Below are 22000 nucleotides of genomic sequence, written 5' to 3' on the forward strand. Positions count from 1 at the left end.
AGATGAGCCTCCAGAGCACAGCACTCATTTACTCTGAGCAAAGACTCAACTCCAGAATCCTTCCCAATCCAGCAGTCCAGGCTGTCATTACTAATCAGAATGGGCAAGTGGTTTGCAACTCATTTGCCAAGGTAGAGAAAAGAAGAGCAGGAAGAAAGAGGAAAGTAACATTTTCTGAGCACCAATCATATGCCAAATAGTGGCATGTCAAGCGGGTGGGGAAGTCAGCCTCGATGGGGAGGGGACAGGTTATCACTGGCATTGCATAGTGAATATAAAATGACTTCGATCATCTTTACACTGGGCTCAATACTCCATGGACAATGCACCCTCATTGCCACTCCCACTGTCCCCTCCGCCTTCCTGACTGCACCACCAGGACCAAGAACAGCTGGTGGCCCTTTCACAGGGCTTGCCTTTCCCAACAGCCTGGTGGTGTGGCAAGGACTTGGAACCATCCCTCTTATACTGTTAAATCCCCTGTTGAGGTCAGACTGTGCCTCAGTTTCCTCACTTGTAAAGTGAAGATAACAAAGCTGTACCTTTCCTAGAGGGCTGTAGTGAGGGCTAGTGCTTCTGCAATTGTGAGAGGGCACAAAACCTGGCATATAGGAAGAACTGTTAAATGTCAATTTTCCCTTAAGTTACCAGCTGAACTGGGCTGCCCCTACCTGAGTTTTAAGATCATTACAATAATAATAATAACCAATTGTAATATACCACATAGGATTGTCTGGTTTAGAAAAACAGACAGGATACTCAGTCAAATTTGAATTTCAGATAAGAAATGAGTAATTTTTAGTATGAGTATTTCCCAAACATTGCATGGAACATAGTTATACTAAAAATTTATTTATTTTTAATCTGAAATTCAAGTTTAACTGAGTGTCCTATATTTTATCTGGCAACACTAACATCAAATCTTAAGGTGTGTGGAATAAACAAAGGCATAACTCTTTGGAAATAAAAATGTCACACTGAAAGAAATGTTTCTCCAAATTGATTTTCAAACTTTTTCCAGCCACATTCCACAGCAAGAAATACATTTTGCATCACAGTGCAATACACACAAATGTGTATTAACTGAAATCAACATTTTACAAAACCTTTTTTGTGTACAGTATATTCTGATATTTTGTCTCCTTCATTCTACTTTATCTTATTTCTTTTTAAAAAAATTCTTTGTCCAGTATCACTTAACTGATTTCATGACCCCCTTAATTGAGGGGTCAACAAATTATGGCCCAGGGCTAAATCTAACTAACCACCTCTTTTTGTAAGGCTTGTAAGCTAAAAATGTTTTTTACATTTTTGGCCAGGCGCGGTGGCTCACACTTGCAATCCCAGCACTTTGGGAGGCGAAGGTGGGCAGATTGCATTAAAACCAGGAGTTTGAGACCAGCCTGGCCAACATGGCGAAACCTTGTCTCTAGTAAAAAGAGAAAAATTAGCTGGGCATGGTGGCACATGCCTATAGTCCCAGCTACTCTGCAGGCTGAGGCAGGAGTTGCTTGAACCTAGGAGGCAGAGGTTGCAGTGAATTGAGATCACACCACTGCACTCCATACAACTTTTTGAGACTCTGTCTCAAAAAATAAAATAAAAAAGATAAGATAAAAGTTAAAAAGATAAGATTAAAAATTTTCTACATTTTTAAGTGGTTGGAAGAAATCAAAAGGAGAATGATATCTCATGACTGGTGAAAATTATATGAAATTCACATTTTAGTATTCATAAATAGTTTAATTACAGGACAGACACGCTCACTTGTTTACCCATTGTCTTTGATCATTTTCGCACTACAGTGGCAGAGTTGAGCAGTTGCGAGTTGAGAGTTGCGTGTTGAGTACAGCCCACAAAACCTAAAATATTTACAATTTGTGCCCTTACTGAAAAAAAATTGCCTACCCCTACCCTAAAGGGTTGCAATTTGCAGTTTGAAACGCTCTGTTCTAAATGGTTTTGCCCCAAAAGGATTCATTTCTATTCATGTGAGTGAGCAGTTTTTTTAACAATGTCAAGTTAACCTTACTCTTCTTATTTCCTCATAGGATAAAGACAGAGGAACAAATACCAGACCAGCAAACTTACCTGAATCCAGCTGCCCTCAGAGTATGGCTGAGGCTTGGTCAAAGCCCAGAACTTAGCAAGGGTTAGAGGACATCATGGGACCATATTCCCAGTCACTCCAGGTATCCACTACTCACAGGGAAGGGAGGGATTATGAAGAACACAGAACAAATGTCAAGTTCTTGACTTTGAATCATTTAGGCTCTTGACTCTTATTACAGAGATTGGGTGGGTCCTCCATAGCCAAGGTTTGTGATAGAAAAGTGTGATCAAATCTAAAGGCTAAGCCCCACGTAAGCACGACATAAAAGTTTATACTACAAACAAGAGAATGGAAAGAGAGGAAAGGATGGTTGCTCTAGCTAGGGAAAGAGGAGAAGGGAAGAAGAAGATGCTGACATAGCCCTGAGGGGTCCTGCACTTTGCCTGCTCCCTCGTCTTGTGATTTTCTGAAGTGGGGTAGCGGGTGATAAATCATCAAGATAGGTTTAGTAATGCCAAGACCTGAGAATGTGTGCCCTGATCTACGGGAGACGCCTGGAGTTAGGGGAGAACAGCACAGATACATACCGAGATCATCAAGGGCCCTGAGGGCCAAATGCAGCATGCCACTTCCTTTTGTAAGTGAAGTTTTATTGGAACACAGCCATGCCCGTTCATTTATCTATTGCCTGTGGCAGCGTTTGTGCTACAGTAACAGAGTGGAGTACTCATCTAAAATACGTGCTGTCTGGCCCTTTACAGGGCATAGTTTGCCATCCCCTGCGTTGTATGCTGGCCATAGTGGAGAAGAGAGCGCAACAGAGCAAAGCAGTGGGGAGGCCCCAGGAAAGCCCCCGATCTGTCACAGCCAGGCCCATGTAAGAGAGCATCCTAAAGTTTCCCTTGCTCCTGCCTCCAAAATGGGCACAAAATGGCCAAAAGAGGGCCGCAGACCTGAGCAGAGCTTGAGGTTGGGACAAGAAGATACAGTGGAGATGGAGGGCTTTCTAACAATGGAGGACTTGGCAGCCTCCAAGTATGGCCCCTGGGTGCCACTACGCATAGGTGCTGATGGCCAAAGACCAGGTCTGCTTCAGGCTAAGGATGCCTGTGGACCATACCACCCCATCCCTCTCTCAGTCCCCCAGAACCCCGTTTTCTACACCTACACCATCCTATATTTCCAGGATCTTACCAGCAACCCCAAGAAGAAGGGAAGGGCATGAAATTTTGAATTGAGTGACTGAAACCGGCATGACTGCATAAACACTGAAGTGAGTGATTTTTACCAGGAAGACACTATATATTAAGTTTCCTGCCACTAGAAGAATGTAGACTTAAACTAGAAATTAGGTTATAGAAAAATGAAGAGGTTTACATTCTACATAGCCGATAGGAAGAACAGGAAACTGACTTTGTTGCTGCAGGAAATTGGAACTTCATTCACAGCAATTCTGAGACCACAGAAGTTGAAGTCCTTATGGTTCATGACTCAATGACTCCATACCTACTCATTTTTCTACCGACTTCTTTCTAGAATAAGACAGTTTAAAGCAGTCCAAATCTTCCGGAGATTTTTCCCATTCTACCTGCAACTCCATAAAAGGAATCCTGTACAAGTCTAAATTTTCACCAGTAGGTGGTGCTAACACAAACACTACACTGTACTTATCTGAGGATGAATTAGCCAGACACTAATTAAAGCTCTCTGCATTAGCACTTTTCTCTACAGCGCCTTCCCTCTGGTCTAATTGAACTTTGTTATTAAGCAGTCCCTGAGTGGTTTCACCTCAGGGCTAACACTCTCTCTCTGGAGTGGTATAATGGAAAGAATTCCAGCATTAGGAAACATGGGGTATGGATTTTGGCTGTCTTACTAATTAGATGAATTCGCCAAGTCACTTAATCTCTCTGAGTCTTAGGATCTTCATTTTTAAAATAAGTGAGTTGGGTTTGTGGGATGCTTGTTTTCCAGGTTTGAGAAACAATTCCACAACCGCTCTTCTCCCATCAAGCTAATACATTTTGAGGAAAAACTCAAGATTTCAAGAAATAGGCTCTCGGACACAATTCTGTGGGGGAGGTAAGAAGTCTGTGGCACAGACTTTCTGTCAGGCAATTTGGCAATGTATAGCGGCAGTCCTAAAAATGTATGTACCTCTTGACCACGAATTCCATATCTGGGAATTCATCTCAAATAAATAATTACAGGCATGTGCAGATATGGAGCCAAGAGAACACTCTATAATGCAGTGCATGTTGACTTTGTTGAGAGCTCAGTGTATCTTCGCTAACCAGTTTCTGAACTTCAGATAATCCTTAGAACTATATTATAATCCTTGTATAAGGCAACAAAGCAAACTATTGCTTAATCATACAATGAAAGGAAGAAGTAATGAACGTATTTTGTGTGCCACACACCAAGCCAGACACTTTTCTTAAGTTCTTTCTTTAAATATTCTTACAATAACCCTATGGCGAAAAGGTATTATTAATTCTATTTTATAGCTAGGGAGTCCAACACTCAGACCAGTTAACCTTCTTGATCAAAGTCACCCAGTGCTGATTACTGGGAGAAGAATTGCATCTTCTACTTTACAAAGATCAAGTTCTCTGAGGGCTTGGGGAAAGCTTTCCCTGTCATGGAAGTAAGAGGAGGGAAATTCAGTAGGTGAACTTTGATTCTGCCTCAGAATTGGATCTGGGCTCTTGGGCGTCTTTGAGGAAGAACTGCAATTTCAAAGCTTCTGCCAATTCTTTGTGCTGCTAAAAATGGAAACCCAAATTAGTCTGTGGGGGCCCCGCTTTCTGGTGGAGAAAACGTTCTTAATTGAGCTTTTATTTGTGCAAAAGGAAATTCCGTTCTGGGATGGGAAAGCCTAGACAAGGAAACACTCAAGCTCTGTGTCTACCAAAGTAAAAGAGTGAGGATTGTACCGATGTTAATGGATTTGGGGCTTCCACTGGTAGACAGAGGGAAGAGGCTGTGGGGGCACGGCATTCAGGGAAAGAGAAACACAGTCAATGCAAACCCCGGTGTGGAGGTAAAGACGGCATAGGAGCACACCTGGCAATGTGCTGGGAGCCTGAAGGTGAAGGAAGACCAGTAGGAATTGGGTGGGATGAGATTTGACCCAAGGACTTGGGGTATGGTTGGTCATGGCTGACACTGAGCTTCATTTTTCCCTCTCTGCACTGAAATTTTTTCAAGCTTTCAGTTGAGCCAGAAAGCCTCATGTTAGCATTGTCTTGGGGTGAAGGGAGGCACTGAATCCATTGGATCAGGGACACACATCCAGGTGGAGAAATGGTAAGTGAATGCCAAGACTGTGTCTACATTCCTTGGAAGAACCCTGGGCTTCCTGAAGCCTCCTGGTTTGGAAGCTGGAGTTCTTTTATTTGCATATATATATATTTTTTACAAAAAGGATGGTCTTGGAAGGTTGTCATAAACTCAGGGACACAGGAGTTCCGTCTCATTGTTATATTTCAGGGACTGAGACTTAAGATGTTCTGCAGGACAGCTGAAACCATGGAGAAGGGTGCTTTTTAACAGGGTTCACCTGTTCTGAGGACTCTGCGACCACAAGCACTTGGCCGCTGTCAGCAGGCTAGGTGATTACAGCATTAGATCATGCCTCTAATGGGAAAAAGGCTTCTCCTTTCTGGCTGACTAATCAGCTTGCCATTTTTATTGCATGATCAGTATCAAGAGCCAATGATTTCTGTCAGCTCCCCGGGTGCACACTAGCATGACAGAAAGAACAGCTATATTAGCAAAGAAAACAGGTGGAGAGATTAGCAAACTCACTTAAAAGGTCAAGACAGCTTGGTCCCTTATGGCACAGTGACAGGAAGGCTGAAGGGGCCCCTTTCTTAGAACAAGAATAGCTGCTAGTACGAAACTCCCATACTTCTAGTCATCTATCTAGTCATCTTGCTATTTTCCTTTTTCTTATTATTTTAAAGTCCAAAGTATTTCATGCTCATTGTCAATCTGTAGCAGTTCCCTAGGGCTGCCATGACAAATTACTACAAACTTGGTTTCTTAAAACAGCAGGAAATTATTCTCTCATGGCCCTGGAGGCCAAAAAGTCTGGAATCAAGGTGTGGGCTATGCTCCCTCTGGAGGCTTTATTGAAGAATCCCTCCTTACCTCTTCCAGCCTCTGGTGGCTCCAGGCAATCTTTGGCATTCCTTGGCTTGTGTCTGCGTCACTCCAATCTTTGCCTCCATCTTCGCACGGCCCCCTCTTCTCCCTAAGTGTCCCTTCTCTGCGTTTCTCACATAAGGACACTTGCTGTTGGACCTAGGGCCCACCTGGATCAGCCATGATGACCTCATTTTGAGATCCTTAACATAATTACATCTGCAAAGACTCACTTTCAAATAAGGTCACACCCACGGGTTCGAGGAAGACATGAATTTCGAGAGGTCAGTGTTCAACCCAGTTCTTGGGGATGTTCTTTTGTGTCAAAGTGCTTTCAAAGCTCTTGAAAATTCATGTTCAAATTCTCAAGTGCGAAGGGCTGATCTGTGAAGAGCAGTGCCAGTGTATCCATAGCTGCCTGAAGGTGGACGATGGGCAGTGCTGGGGCCAGGACACCTCCGGAATAGTGCTCCCTCCCCACTCAGCTCACATCAGCCACCAAGTGCTGTGTGTGGTCCCCTCTCCTCAGTGTCACACCATCATAACCTCTTCTCCAAAGCTCAGGCCACCAAATTCCTTACCTGAGGAAGAGCAACATCCTCTGGAAGGAATTTCTTCACCTCCTGTCTTGCTGGCCTCCAGTACATTCTCTAACCATCAGCCCACGTGATCTTTCTAGGTTAAAATTAAAATTTTGCAAAGCTTGCTTATTGCCTTTGGGCTGTGGTTCAAGCCTCTTGGCTGGGCACTCCAGGTCCTCTGAGACCAGCTCCTTGCTTCCCAAGGCAGTCTTAGCTCCCCACCACACCTCTGGCAGCCTAAGCCCCAGGCAGTCTTGCCACTGAAGAACGAAGCAAGTCCACAAACACCTCCTTGCCTTTACATCCTCTGCTCTTCCTGTCTGAAAATACTTTTTTCCTTATTCACCTGGTCTCTTGGGGTGAGTAGTGGCCCACAAAAAGATATGCCCTGTCCTAACTTCCAGAACCTGAGAATGTGACCTTATTTGGAGAAAGGGTTTTGCAGATGCAAGCAACTTAAAGATCCCAAGATGAGATCGTCCTGGATTACCTGAGTGGGCCCCCAATCCCATGACATGTGTCTTTATAAGAGAAAGGCAGAGGGAGATTTGACACAGAGCAGACAGTCCTGTGAAGACAGAGGCAGAGATTGGAGCAATGCAGTGCAACCTGAAACCAAGAATTGCCCAGAGGAATCACTGGAAGCCGGAAGAGGCAAGGAAGGATTCTCTCCTAGAGCCCGCAGAGGGAGCATGGACTTGCCAACACCTTAATTTTGGACTTCTGGCCTCCAGAACTATGAGAGAATAAAGTTTTGTTGTTTTAAGCCACCCAGTAGGTGATAATTTGTTAAGCAGCCCTAGGAAACTAAAAGGCATGGATAATCCCAGGATCCCATGGAAGGTTGTGCAGGTTGCTGACTTCTCAAGGGCACTACTTGAGAGGACGAGGAGAGACTAAATACAGCTCACACTGGGCCTGCCAACCTGCATGGCCTGCAGGAGACTGCTCCTGGCCAGAAGGGGTACCTCTCTCTTATTTACAGCTGGCCAGCGCCAGCTCTCATTCTTGGGTTTTCTTCAACTCTCTGCTCCTGGGTAGACCTTCCAGGAAGGCTTTCTTGAGCCACACTTCTCCCCAGGACTAGTCTGGACCCTTCTTCTGCTCCAGTAGATATATTTATCCTGCTGTAACACAATTGTCGGTTCACATTTCTATACCCTCCTCCATATCTCAGAAACAAGGGCTGCTCTTAGTCTCCTCTTTCCACTGTGCCTAGCACATCATAGGTGCTCAAAAGAGACCTGTTGAATGAATGAGCAGGAGCCAGCTATGGAGCCTCAGTGAGCCTGCGGCAGCAAGAGGCACAGTGAGCGGGAGCAGGGATGAGATGCCCGTCCCAAGGGGCTGCTGAATCAAGGCAATTTCATGCTCGTCACAATTTGCCTAAACTAGCCATCAAACAGAACCGGAAAAGTGGCTCGAATAGAGAGCACCACCAGGACGTTAACATTTTGCAGATGTGTTATCTGAGCTTGTGCCTTTATCTTTTCCCTAACTGAGGCATCGGTGCCTAAGGATATTTCCACTGGGGCCAAACACATGCTCACACATCCAATGGGACCCAACGTACTGCATTCCACGCAGATACACACATGAGCTCATGCAAGTCCCAGGGTGCTCATCTGGTCCAGATTTGAAGGAAACTATTTAGCTAGATGGAGAAAAACACATCATGTACAACTTAATACCAAACAGATTTTATGACATACTGAAACTGCTTTTGATAATCTACTAATATATCAGAAGAGCTAATCAACTAAAAAAGAACCAGCTAATGTCATATCTCTGAGGTCTGGACAATGTTTATGTGAGTTGCAGGGATGACAGAAAATACAAAAAGATGCAGGGAGCTTTAGGGAGAGTTATCCAAAGGCTCCCCCACCCCCTGCTGAGATGCAGTCCTGTTTATTGTAGCAAGAAATGTATTTTGCCAATTTATGAACATAGACAATTATTTTCTGGCTGAAAGTCAGAGTGGACTTTTCCAGAGATGCAGAAACACTATTGCTTGGCCACTAAGATCCCTCGTGGGAATGCTGCTAGGGAATGCTGCTAGCCATGGATGCTGCTAGGGAAATAATCGGTGCAGGACAGTTTCACTTGGGACTATCTCAACCCATTGGTGGTTTCCTCGTCAGTGTGGGGAGCCCCTTCATTAACTGGTCACTTGACCACGACGGCATTCCTAAGTGATTCCTAAGACTTCATGAAGTCTCTCGATAAATGTTTTAAATTAAAACCCACATCTGTGCTTGTCCTGGCACCATCTGGGGTTATAAGAGGCAGCACAACATACTGAGATAAGAATGACTTTGAAATTGCAGTTCAATTACTTGATGATGTGAGCTTTGACAAAACTGCTTAATTACTCTGGCCTCAGTTTCCTCATTGGAAAATGGAGAACAAAATGTTGACAGTCTCACTCTGTCATCGAGGATGGAGTACATCCTGGAGTACAGTGGTGTGATCTCAGCTCACTGCAACCTCTGCCTCCCAGGCTCAAATGATTCTCATGCCTCAGCCTCCTGAGTAGCTGGGATTACAGGCATGCACCACCACACCCAGCTAATTTTTCTGTATTTTTAGTAGAGATGGGGTTTTTGCCATGTTGGCCAGGCTGGTCTCGAACTCTTGGCCTCAAATGATCTGCCCGCCTCGGCCTCACAAAGTGCTGGGATTACAGGCATGAGCCACCGCGCCTGGCCTTGCTTAACTTTTCTCAGTGCAGGATATTCAAATGGGGCAAGTGCGAGCAAGGATTGTGGTACTGTGCCCAGAGACAGGGGATGTGGGATGGTGTTTGGAAATTTGTGGAAGTCTATCTGACTGTTGCAATACCTGGGGATAGGAAGGCAGGGGAGCCGAGCATTACTGGTCCTGAGAAGGAGCCAGAAAGCCTCAACTTATTATAATACCCTCACTGAGAAGCACTGCATTAAAGTAATCTCAGGCTGTTCCTGGCTGAATCTGTATGAAACCCTGTGATTCTATGTGATGAAGAGAAGGCGTATTACTTCTTGTGTTTGCTTTTGTTTTGATATAGGTTATCATTGTAGGGAAGTGTTTTAATCTTATTATATTGTATTTTTTAAATAACCAAATCATTTTGTTGGCATTGTATAAAGAGACATATTTTCTAAAGTACCAAGAAAAAGGAGCAGGCCATTTAGACTGATGGCATCCTTTCAGATGCTGCGCTCCCATGAGGAGCTCTAGGAGCCAGTCTTCTCCTTTTGGGCTCTCACAGGAGATCTTAGGAAGAGGTTCTCAGAATAGGGCTGTAGGAAAACGTCCCGACACCTGGCGCAGCCAGGCTGGTGGGGATTAGGGAGCAAACATGATTCACTTCATTTTATTTTTATACAGGAAACTAGAGACATAGCTAAGAAACAAACTCGCTATTTCTGGTTCTTGGCTAGTTGTGGCTCTTAGGGGACACTCCCTTCCTCTGAAGAGCTGTTTTTATGGCAAGGGACTCACATGCTTTTTCATTGCTACATTATCTTTGAATCATAGTTGGCAATTAGGCATTGAAATTTGACTATTTACCTTAGGGACTCCTCTGGGTATGTGAAGAATTCCCCTGTTTTGCTCAGGATGTGGGCAGATGAGGAAGTAGTAGCAACTGACTGATATTATATCTCCATTTGGCTGGTGCTGGGGAAGAACCTTTGAGTCAGCCAAGGAGACATTCCCCAGTGCAGAGATGGCAAATAGAAGTGTATCTTTGGATGTCATCTACTTCTTCAGCTGTCCCCAGGTCAGAGGGAATGGGGGTGGGTGGAGCAGGTGTGGGGGGTGGAAATCCCACCATTCAAATGTTCAAGACAATCTGTGACTTAAACAGAAAATTGTGGGACTTGGTGAAAAAATGGAAGGTTGCACTTTAGAGTTAAAAAGAAAAAAGAAGGAATTCAAGCCAACAACCATAGATAGTCCCAGGCTCACAATGGTTCACTTCTGATATTTTAATTTTGGTGGTGCCAAAATGATACATAATCAGTAGAAACTATACTTGGGAGTACTTATACAATATTGTTTTTCACTTTCAGTACACTGTTCAATAAATCGCCAAGCTTTCCCACACTTTATGATAAAATAGGCTTTGTGTTAGATGAGCTTGACCAACTATAGGCCATTGTAAGTGTTCTGAGCATGTTTAAGGCAGGCTAGGCTAAGCTATGAGCTTCAGTAGGTTAGGTGGATTAAATGCATTTTTAGTGTATGATATTTTCAGTTTATGATGGGTTTATCAGGAAGAAACCCCATAGTAAGTTGAGGAGCATCTGTATTTATCAAGCATTAGGTGCTGAATATAAAATCATCGTTAACATTAAGAATAGCTCATTTCCTATCCTCCTTCTAGATACCAGACACTGTTCATTTAAAATATATATATTAACTCATTTAATCTTCATAACACACCTTTAAGGTACTTACCTATTAGTATCAGGAGCATCTGTATTTATTAAGCACTAGGTACTGAATAAATCATCATCGTTAATAAGAATAACTTGTGTTTCCTATCCTCCTTCCAGGTACCAGATACTGCTTATTTAAAATAGATGTATTAACTCATTTAATCTTCATAACACACCTGTAAGGTACTTACCTGTTAGTATTATGCCTATGTTATGGATGCAGAAACAAGGCACCAAATGGCTATGTAGCCTTCCTGGAATTATCCAGATAGTAAACAGTAGAGATGAGATGTCAATGCAGACACTACGCCTCCAGATTATGGGCTTTATATCACTATAACATAGCTTCTCTTAGGATGTGATTTCTTTTCTCAAGGACGTTACAGGGAGCTGGCAGCCTGCAATTAACGAAAGCTTGGCTGCCGTGGTTGGCTGAGACTCAGCTATTTGTTACAAGAATATACTCTTAAGTTAGGTTGCAATAGGATTCAAAGTGTGGAGGACGCTTAAGGCCAAATTTAATTTAACAGGGACATGGTTATGGATTGGCAGAATAATTGGTGAAATGTTGCCCACAGTGACAGGAAAGATAGAAAGAACACCTATAAATGTGTGTATCTGGCTAAGAAGATTTCCAAGCAGAATGGCAGCTTTTTTTTTAAGTAGGGAGGAGTGAGATGAGCTTAAGAAAGAACTGATTGGTTTTCAAGCAGAATTTAGAGGCAATATTTCCAAGGCAAGGCTTGCTTGATGGGAATCTTTTTAAACAATTTTATATTCACAGATTATCTGGAAAACAAATGATTCCCAAAGTAAGAAATGACCAAAGGACAAAAATCAAATCCAAGAAAACATAGCTTCCAGGTAAAGAACAGATCAGGGCTATGGTTGTGAGAACCTTTGTTGAAATATCAGCAAGATTTAAAGTGATGCCTCATGGACCTCCCAATTAGACAAATAGCTAAAGGGATTTTCTAGACCCTCCTAATCAGACAGTAGCACTTCTGAGAATTATAAATGTTTTGCCTCACCACACACTGACTTGAGGGTTCTGTCTCAAAGAGACTTACAGATATTCTTTTGTCTTAGGTATGGATTATAATTTGATACACAGGAAGCCCACAACATTTTTTAAAGGAATTATATCGCTTTAACTCAAAGGGAAAGATAGTGGAAAATAAAAAGAGGTCCCAGGACCCTAGACTTCCTAATGAAAGAAGCAGGCTACAAACACAGGGCATTTCTTATAGGAGAGGAAGGGCAATTTAGAAGGAGAAGTCAAGATTCCAGAGGGAAGAGCTAACAGCCATGGAAAATCACTCACAAGGAGCAGAAACAAACGCTTTCTTTTCATTGTTTATTGATTTTATTTGAAACTATGTGCATCTTACATGTTTTAGGTTCTTGATAACATTGGAAGGGGACATAACGATGTTTGCTGACAAACAGCTTTCTGAAAAAAAGAGTTTATACGCTATTCCGCGTGGATCAAAGACTTCCAGATCTTTTCAAATTATTATTATACTTACTGCTTAAATTTTTAAAAATGTTTATCTCAATAGTTTTTGGGTGCAAATGGCTTTTGGTTACATGGATAAGTTTTTTAATGGTGATTCTGAGATTTTGGTGTGCCCTTCATCCAAGCAGTTTACACTGTACCTAATACATAGTCATTTGTCCCTCACCCCGCTCCCACCCTTCACCCGGAGTCCCCAAAGTTCTTTATATCATTCTTATGCCTTTGCGTCCTCACAACTTAGCTCCCACTTGTAAGTGAGAATTTGGTTTTCCATTCCTGAGTTACTTCACTTAGAACAATGGCCTCCAGCTCCATCCAAGTTGCTGCAAAATCCATTATTTCATCTCTTTTTATGGCTGAGTAGTGTTCCATGGTATATATACCACATTTTCTTTATCCACTTGTTGGCTGATGGGCATTTAGATTGGTTCAGTATTTTTGCAATTGTGAATTATACTGCTATAAACATGCATTTTCCTGTGTATTTTTCAAATAATGACTTCTTTTCCTTTGGGTAGATACCCAGTAGTGGGATTGCTGGATGGAATGGTAGTTCTACTTTTAGTTCTTTAAGGAATCTCCATACCGTTCAGAAATGAACTCTTAATTAGGGAATGTTCTCTACCCCTGGAATCAGAGAAAATGGCCATATGTGCCTAATTGAGTTTCAAAATTGCTAAGAACAGTAGGGCCATGTGTCTCCTGTTTTCATCTTTTTTTGAGCAGAAACATTGTTGCTTTATTCTCTTTTTTCCACAATTTTATGTTAGCTTCTGAGATCACTGGGACTTTTTTTTTTTTTTTTTTTTGTGAGAGTCTCATTCTTTCACCCAGGCTGGAGTGCAGTGGTGTGATCTTGGCTTACTGTAACCTCTGCCTCCTGGGGTTCAAGTAATTCTTGTGCCTCAGCCTCCCAAGTAGCTGGGATTACAGGCATGTGCCATCACACCCAGCTAATTTTTTTTTTGTCTTTTTAGCAGAGATGGGGTTTTGGGTTTTGTTGGTCAGGCTGGTTTCAAACTCCTGACCTCAAGTGATCTGCCTGCCTTGGCTTCCCAAAGTGCTGGGATTACAGACGTGAGCCACCGCGCCCAGCCTCATCTGATTTTTTTGTTTCATGGATCTTCACATCCAAGAAACCACAGCTGAAAAGCTATATTCAAGGAGTAGACCAGGGATGCCTCATCCTCACTAATGCCTGTTTGAACTGATGTTGTCCTAAACTTTGAGCTGATTCCTTTTTTTTTTTTTTTGGAGCTGATTCCATATGGAATGAGAATTTGAGGGAGGAGTGAATTTTGCACATGAGAGTACATAGTAGATAATCTCCAAATATGTCCACTATCAATTGCTTCCCTCCTTGCATACAAATACCACTCCCTATCAATAAATGTAGATTATTTCCACTGGGCTGGCCTTGTGATTTGTGTTGACCAATACAATAGCGCAGAAGTGTCAGATGGAACTTTAAAATCTGTCTTATGAGAACCAGCAGCTTCCACAGACTCCTTCCTTTTGGAACACAGCCCTCATCTGTAAGGAATCTCAAGCAGCCATGAGGAGAGTAGTATATAGAAGAATAATGGCTGCCTGTGGTGGCTTATACCTATAATCCCCAGCACTTTGGAAGGCTGGGGTGGGCAGATAACTTCAGCCCAGGAGTTTAAGACCAACCTAGGCAACATGAGGAAAACTGTCTCTACAAAAAATACAAAAATTAGCCAGGCATGGTGGCGTGTACCTGTAGTCTCACCAGCTACTTAGGAGGCTGAGGTGGGAGGATTGCTTGAGCAGAGAGGTCGAGGCTGCAGCGAGCCAAGATCACACCACTGCACTCCAGCCTAGGTGACAAAGTGAGACCCTGTCAAAAAACAAAGAAAAAAGAAAAAGAATAGTAAGGTCCTCAGTTGTCTCAGTAAAGTGGCCAGCACCAATTTTCAGCTATATGAGTGAGGCTATTTTTGAGCAATCAACCCTGTTAGCACCTTAGCCAATACTGCACAAAGAATATTCACCCAGGTAACCCAAAAGATTGTGAAGATACTAATTTGTTACTGTTTGAAACCACTAAATTTCAGGTGGTCTGTTGTAGCAACATATAACCAAAACAGATGAAGATTAAAACATTGAGGTTGACTGAAATATCTCCAAGAAAGCAGTAAAATAATAAAACAAGAACAAGTCTGGGGTGAACAAGAATTTTAGGTGGTTAGGAGGTGACTGCAAAAGGAGACAGAGAAGAAATGTTCAAGGAAATAGGAAGAGAGCAAGAAGCAACCTCATAGGTAGCCAGGGAGGACCTCTGCAAGGTGGAGGAAAGACCAACAGTAGCACATGCAGCAGAGAGTTCTAGAAAAAAAAAAAGGAAAGGTATGGAAATCTGCCATCATCTCTGGTAATTAAAACCGTCGATGACCTTTGCCAAAGCAGCTTTATCAAAGTGGTGAAAAAAAGAAGCCAATTTACAGGGGGTTAAAGAGATGTCTAGCCAGGAAATTTTACTTAGTCATAGACGGTGAAAACAAGAGGAAACAACAGGTACAGACATCTCTTGTAACCAAGTGTCTAAAAAAGGAAATAGAAGTAATAGGACATTTGGTAACTGGGAGCATGAGATCAAGAGGAATGTTCCATTACCACATTTGTGCTTTTTAGTTAAGCTCTAGATGGGCTTGGCTTTTTACAAATGACCGTCTTTGGGCTGATGTGTGGCACCAGCTATTATTCAGTCCACATGATTCTGCTGGAACGCTGGGTGAAATCAAGTTTTTGTGATGAGTGGCATCTTGTGGTGCAAGGGGCACTGTATTGGGTTTTCTGAGGCTTAGTTTGCCACCAGCTAGCTACAGCAAGTCAGTTTACTTCCAGATCTCGCTCTTCCTCCATTTGGTAAATGGACAGCATTGGAAGACCTTGAAGGGCTTTCCAAAGTTAACATTCTATAAAAATGATTTCATCCTCAAAAATTTCTACATTTGATTATTATGCTTTGTTATTGTTTCCCAGAAATCCAGAGTATAAATATGGTCTAAATCACCCAATTTATCAAGTGAAATACTTGCGGCTTAATGCCTTTGCCTAAATAAATGCAATACTCTAGTTTCTAGCCCATATACTTGACAAAATGCCAGGTCCCTCCTGAGCTGCTCAGGCTTATCCAGAGCAGGTCATTCTGGGTCCCACGGTTGATGAGCTAAGACCTTCCCTTTGATCATCACATCTAGAGCTAAGAGGTCTGTGGGCATGCCCAGGGACAAACCAGGCCACCAAGCAAAAGGCCAAGGGTGGTAGGATGGGAGTGGTGGTTACCTAGGACAGCTTATTTCCTAAACAGATAGATGTTCCTCAGTTTATGTGGGTGGGGGAGACATGTCTGTGACTTAATGTGTTTCATAGACAGGAACACATGCCAAGACCTTCAATATCCCTCCTTCCCAAGGGTCAACATTTTCAAGCATTTTTTTTTCACACTTAATGGTTACTAGAGGATATTATTTCTGTGCCAGTTTCTTTTAAAAAATTTTTAAATAAATTTATGGGGTACAAGTGTCATTTTGTTACAAGGATCTATTGCATAATGGTGAAGTCAGAGGTTGTAATGTATCCATCACCCAAATAACATACATTGTATCCATTGAGTGATTTCTCATCATTCACCCCCAGCACCCCCAGCCTTTCAAGTCTCCATCGTCTGTCAGTCCACACTGTATGTCCATGTGTACACATTATTAACCCCCACTTATAAGTGAAGACATGCAATATTTGTCTTTCTGTTTCTGAGTTGCTTCACTTAAGATAATGGCCTCCAATTCCACCCATCTTGCTGCAAAAGACATGCTTTCAGTCTTTTATTTGGCTGAATAGTATTCCACTGTGTATGTAACACATTTTCTCTATCCAGTCCTCCATTTATGAATACTTAGGTTGATTCCATATCTTTGCTATTGTGAATGGTGTTGCAATAAACATACAAGTCTTTTTTGTGTCATGATTTTTGTTTCTTTGGGCAGATACCCAATCGTGGGATTGCTGGTTTTAATGGTAGTTCTATTTTTAGTCCTTTGAGAAATCTCCATACTATTTTCCATAGAGGTTATACTAATTCCCACCAACAGTGTATAAAACCTTCCCTTTTCTCATCTTTGCCAACATTTGTTGTTTTTTGTCATTTTATTAATAGCTATTCTGACTGGTATAAAATGATATCTCATTGTGGTTTTAATTTGCATTTCTCTGGCTTCTTCCTTTTCTAATTTACGCTTTTGTCTTTATTTTATGGGATACCTTTGTTTCTCAGATACAACTAAGGACAAAGCCAGAGAGTAAACAGTTTTTCTGTGGTCAAGAAGTATATTTAAGCCAACCACGGTGGCTCATACCTGAATCCCAGCTATTCAGGAGGCTAAAGCAGGAGGATTTATTGAGTTCAGGAGTTTGACATCCTGGGCAATGTAGTAAGACCCCATTTCATATTAAAGAAAGAGAAAGAGAGAGAGGGAGGGGGAGAGAGAGAGAGAGAAAAGAAGAAGAGGAAGAAGAAGGAGGAGGAAGGAAGGAAGGAAGGAAAGGAAGGAAGGAAGGAAGGTGAGAAGGAGAGAAGGAAGAGAAATTTAATTGGAATTACGATACTTTTTTGTTTAGAGGAAGAAACCAAACTAGAAAGATAAACGTTATTACATCTCTCACAACCACAACCCCGAATCCTAATACTTGAATATCATTATTCTTGTGACAGTGGAATAAACAAATTTGTGTTGGGAAAAGTAATTTATCATCCTCCACTAGTTCTAAGGGAGGATCCTTTGAACATCCATACTAAGTGGAATGATGAGTGTGATTAGTGTGATTAGAAGGCAATCGTCCCCATCAAGTGACAGGGTCCATTTCGGGGAGCTGATGAGGCAACAGAGCAGCTATTGGCTGAAACGAAACAACACAGGAAGAATTAAGAGGGTTAGCAGGGATTTCTACTACTGTGCCTTGTTCCGTGTGATGGACCACTCTCCACCATTTCTCTCCAGTGTCTTCACTAGCTCAGCCCTTGGTGTGGTGGCTAAGAACACAGGTTCAGGAGCCAGAGTGCCTCATTTCCCCCCCGCCCCGGCTCCATTCCCACCTCTGGCTCGGTGACTTTGGGCTATGCAACTCTGCATGATTTAATCCAACATCTTCATGCTTTGGTTTCCTTATCTGTACAACAAAGATAATAATAGCACCTACCCCATAAAGTTCTTGTGAGAGTTAAATGTGTTAGTGCATGCAAGAGGCTTGTAATAAGCCTGGCACATGCCGAGTGCTATATTTACTGTTACTGACTAAAACTTGGTAAAATTTGATTTTTTTTTTTTTTTCTTTTTTGGTGGAGGGAGGATGTGACAAAAAACCAAGTTTTCTTTCATGGAAAATGAGATGACAATGAAGATCGCTCCCAGAGACTAGTCATATCTGATATTTTTATAGTAGTTATTACTATGGCTACTATTACTATTTCAGTCCTTCCTCCTAATGTGGATCTGAGCCCACACACTTTGCTTTACTACTTTAGCATGTATGCCCATTCATTTATTCCTTCATTCATGCAACAAATACCTTATTGAGCACTTATTACTTTCTATGTGCTAAGCACTTGTCCAGATGCTGGGAAATAATACAGTTAAGATCCCTGCTCCTGTGATGTTTATATTCTCAAGAAAAAGGTAGAGTATCACTATGACAACCAATTAAACAAACAAGATAATTTCCAAACTAACAGCTGCTGTGATTGTCATCAGACAGGACCATGGGGTTGAAATGGACTTGGAGAGAGTCTCTCCATTAGACAGCATGGTAAGGAAGGCCTCTCTGAGCATGTGATAGTGGAGCTGAGAAGTCCCTAATACAAAGGAGGTAATCACAAGAAGGTGTTGGGCTGAATGTTCCAAGCAAGAAAGGATAAAGTTGAAGAACACTGAAATGAAAGTCAGCCTGGTGTGTCTGAGCAATTGAAGGAAAACCAGGGAGCTGGAGTACAGGAAGTAAGGAAAAGAGTGGAAGGACAGGAGATGTGAGAGGTAGAGAGGGGCCGCATCAGCCAGGCCCTCAGGGGCTCTGGAAGGGAAGCCACTGGAGGGGAATAGGCAGAAGAGTAACAGAAGTGTATTTACTGTGTGTAAGTAGACATTGATTAAACATCTACTATGTGCAAAGCACAGTACTAGCCTTGGTGGAGGATACCAAGTAGAAACCAGTCTTTTTATAACCTAAGACCATCCTGGATGCTGTGGGGAGAACAGAAGATGGAAGGGTAAGGCAGAAGCAAGAAGTCCATTGGGGAGAATCCTAGAAGAGAGAAGCAGGTGTCTTGGGCTGGAGTGGTAGCAGTGCAGCTGGAGGAAAGGGCACAGATTTTAGAGCTAGAGCTGAGAGGTTCTCCTAATGACTTGCTAATGAATATTGGTGGGTGGGCAGAACAATAAAGGAATTAATGACGATGAGGAATACAGACTTGACAGAATTAATTCAGAGAAGTCACAAAGTGGAGAAACAATATGTATTAGTCTGTTCTCACTCTGCTAATAAAGACATACCCGAGACTGGATAATTTATAAAGGAAAGAGGTTTAATGGACTCACAGTTCCACATGGCTGGAGAGGCCTCGCAGTCATGGCAGAAGGCAAAGGAGAAGCAAAGGCACGTCTTACATGGTGGCAGGCAAGAGAGCTTGTGTAGGGGAACTCCCATTTATAAAACCATCAGATCTCATTTGACTTATTCACTACCATGAGAACAGTATTGGGAAAATGGCCCCCAGTGATTCAATTATCTCTACCCTTGACACAAGGGTATTATTACAATTCAAGGTGAGATTTGGGTGGGGACATAGCTAAGCCATATCACAATACAACAATGTGAATCCAGGGGGATGGAGGAGAATGTGATTTCCAGAGTTGCCACATTATATTATCTAAAATGCCTAGTTTCAACAACAAAAAAATACAAGATGTGCAAAGAAACAAAAAAGTATGGCCTACACACAGAGAAGAAAAGTAGTCATAGAAATTGTCTCGGCAGAAGCCTAGATTTTGGACTTACTAGACCAAGCCTTCAAATCAATTGTTTTAAATATGTTCAAAGAACCCAGGAAATTGTCTAAATAAGTAAAGAATAATATGTAAGAACAATTTCTCCCTAAACAGAGAATATCAGTAAAGTGATAGAAAGCAGAAAAATATTTTTAGGAGTACTAAGTCCCTTACATCTTATAAAGAGTTTAAAGAAATGTCTCAGGTGATGAGTGTGGTTTTCAGAAGCACAGCTCTGTAGGTTTAGTGATGTGCTGTTTTATAATTTACTGCAAGTTGGAAGTCTTCATTGAAGTATTTTCTTTCTCTTTCATGTATCTCTGTTGATCTCCCCTTCTTTCTATATGTATTAGTTATCTATTGTTGCATAACTATCCCACACCTTAACGGCTAAAAACAACATTTATTATTTCACAGTTTCTGTGAGTCATGAATCCAGTTAAGGCTTAACTGAAGTCTTCCAACTCAGGGTATCTCCTGAAGCTGCAACCAAGATGTCAGCTGAGGCTGCAGTCATCTGAAGGCTCAGCTGGGGAAGGGTCCACTTCCTTGCTTACCCACGTGACTGTCGGCAGGCCTCAGGCTCTTGCTGTCTGCTGGCTTGAGATGCCAGCTCCTTGCCACATGGGCCTCTCCATAGGGCTGCTCACAACAGGGAAGCTTGCTTTCCTTATGCCAAGGGATCTAAAAGAGAGAATGAGAGAGTCTGGAAGCCAGTCTTTTTATAACCTAATCTTTTCATAACTACATCTCATGACTTTTGCCATATTCTATTTGTTAAAAGTTAGTGAGTCCAACTCACACTCAGGGGAAGGGGATTGTCCAAGGGTGTAAGTACCAGGAAGTTGCCTATCACCTGATTGTAACCATTTTTGGTGGACTAGACTCTCCTGGGTAGCAGTGAGAAGCAGGAAAGGTAGTAATAGCAGCAAGTTATCCTATCCCATAACTTTTGGGATAGTTGCTGATACTTCAGGCTGATCTAATAAAGTCATGAGAGGAATAGTTCCTGGTGCCCTCTGTACAGGAAAAACACAATGTGGAAAAAGTGAAGCAATGTGTATTAAGTTTATACTGCCTGCGACCGAGTCAGCAAGAACCGTACCAGGTCTGCATTGTTCAAGAAGTTTCTGAATCTTCATCCTCAAGTACAATTATTTGGATTTGCACTATAAGATTCTTGTAATCTGATCCTGTGCTCATTACATAAACCTTCCCTAAATTCATCAACAGACCTTTCCCAAATTGATGTTCCTGGACTCCTTGTTGCCCGCTCCTAATGAGAGCTTCCTTCATTTGCAGGTGGCTTTTCTCATGACAATGTCATTCACACGAGGGGACAGTACCAGGCATGCTCCTTCTAACTGAATGCCCATTGTGTTCTTGGCTCTTTGCACTGCTGCACTCAAAATAATGCGAACATCCAACAGCCTCTTCTCTGCTCTCCCACAATGTCTTGTTCTTTGGTGCAAATTTTCCTAGATTCCCAAATTTAATACATTCCATCGCTGTAATCTAAGCTTCATACATTTTCCTTCTGCAATGAAATGTTTATCTTCTGATCAATAGTTCGCAAAACCCTACCTGTGGATATCTTCCTGGGATAGGTTCCCTTAGAACCATAGATTTCCATCTATGATGGTTAGCTTTATGTGTCAATTTGACTGGGCCACAGGGTGCCCAGTTATTTGGTTACACATTGTTCTGAGTATGTCTGTGGGGGTGTTTCTGGATGAGAGTAACATTTGGATTGATAGATTGAGTAAAGCAGATTGACCTCCACAATGTGGGTGAGCCTCATCCAATCAATGGAAGACCTAAAGAGAACAAAAGACTCAATAAAGGAGAATTTGCTCTCTGTCTGACTGTCTTCAAGCTGGAACATCAGTGTTCTCCAGCCTTTTTTCTGGGACTTGGACTGGAACTTGCACCAGTAGCTCTTCTGGTTCTCAGGCCTTCAGACTCAGACTGAAACTTACACTATCAGCTCTCCTACCTCTCAGGGCTTTGGACTTGCACTACAACTATACCATCAGCTCTCCTGACTCTCCACCTTGCAGACAGCAGATCTTGGAACTTCTCATAATTGTGTGAGCTAATTCCTAGTAATAAAAGCAACTCCCTCATTTATATATATCCCATTGGTTCTGTTTCTCTGGAGAACTCTAATACACCAATGTAGGTTAAAAGGTGAATCTCACAAAGTCCAGTAA

The 22000-nt window shown here is 42.2% G+C and overlaps 1 long non-coding RNA gene across 3 annotated transcripts in view, besides 2 other annotated features; it reads left to right on the forward strand.

The window, feature by feature from the left end:
• The window catches only part of LINC02357 (long intergenic non-protein coding RNA 2357), a 33504-nt gene that overhangs the window by 7645 nt on the left and 3859 nt on the right, over positions 1-22000 (forward strand). For 2 of the 3 annotated variants that reach the window (XR_001741635.2, XR_001741634.2), the window contains 2 exons: positions 2052-2192; positions 4028-4209. This is a non-coding gene — a long non-coding RNA (long intergenic non-protein coding RNA 2357). Of the gene's footprint in view, positions 1-2051; positions 2193-4027; positions 4210-22000 lie in introns of those variants that run through there. The other variant, XR_925506.3, reaches the window with a different exon arrangement.
• Positions 2802-2981: an enhancer, noted in NCBI's record as "active region_21385". NCBI's record gives its function as "activates an Ori minimal core promoter by ATAC-STARR-seq in GM12878 lymphoblastoid cells {active_cell/tissue: GM12878}" and the evidence as "EXISTENCE:reporter gene assay evidence [ECO:0000049][PMID:35858748]".
• Positions 10292-10401: an enhancer, noted in NCBI's record as "active region_21386". NCBI's record gives its function as "activates an Ori minimal core promoter by ATAC-STARR-seq in GM12878 lymphoblastoid cells {active_cell/tissue: GM12878}" and the evidence as "EXISTENCE:reporter gene assay evidence [ECO:0000049][PMID:35858748]".

The sequence above is a fragment of the Homo sapiens genome, chromosome 4, assembly GCF_000001405.40.
Source record: "Homo sapiens chromosome 4, GRCh38.p14 Primary Assembly".
Classification (NCBI taxonomy): domain Eukaryota; kingdom Metazoa; phylum Chordata; class Mammalia; order Primates; family Hominidae; genus Homo; species Homo sapiens.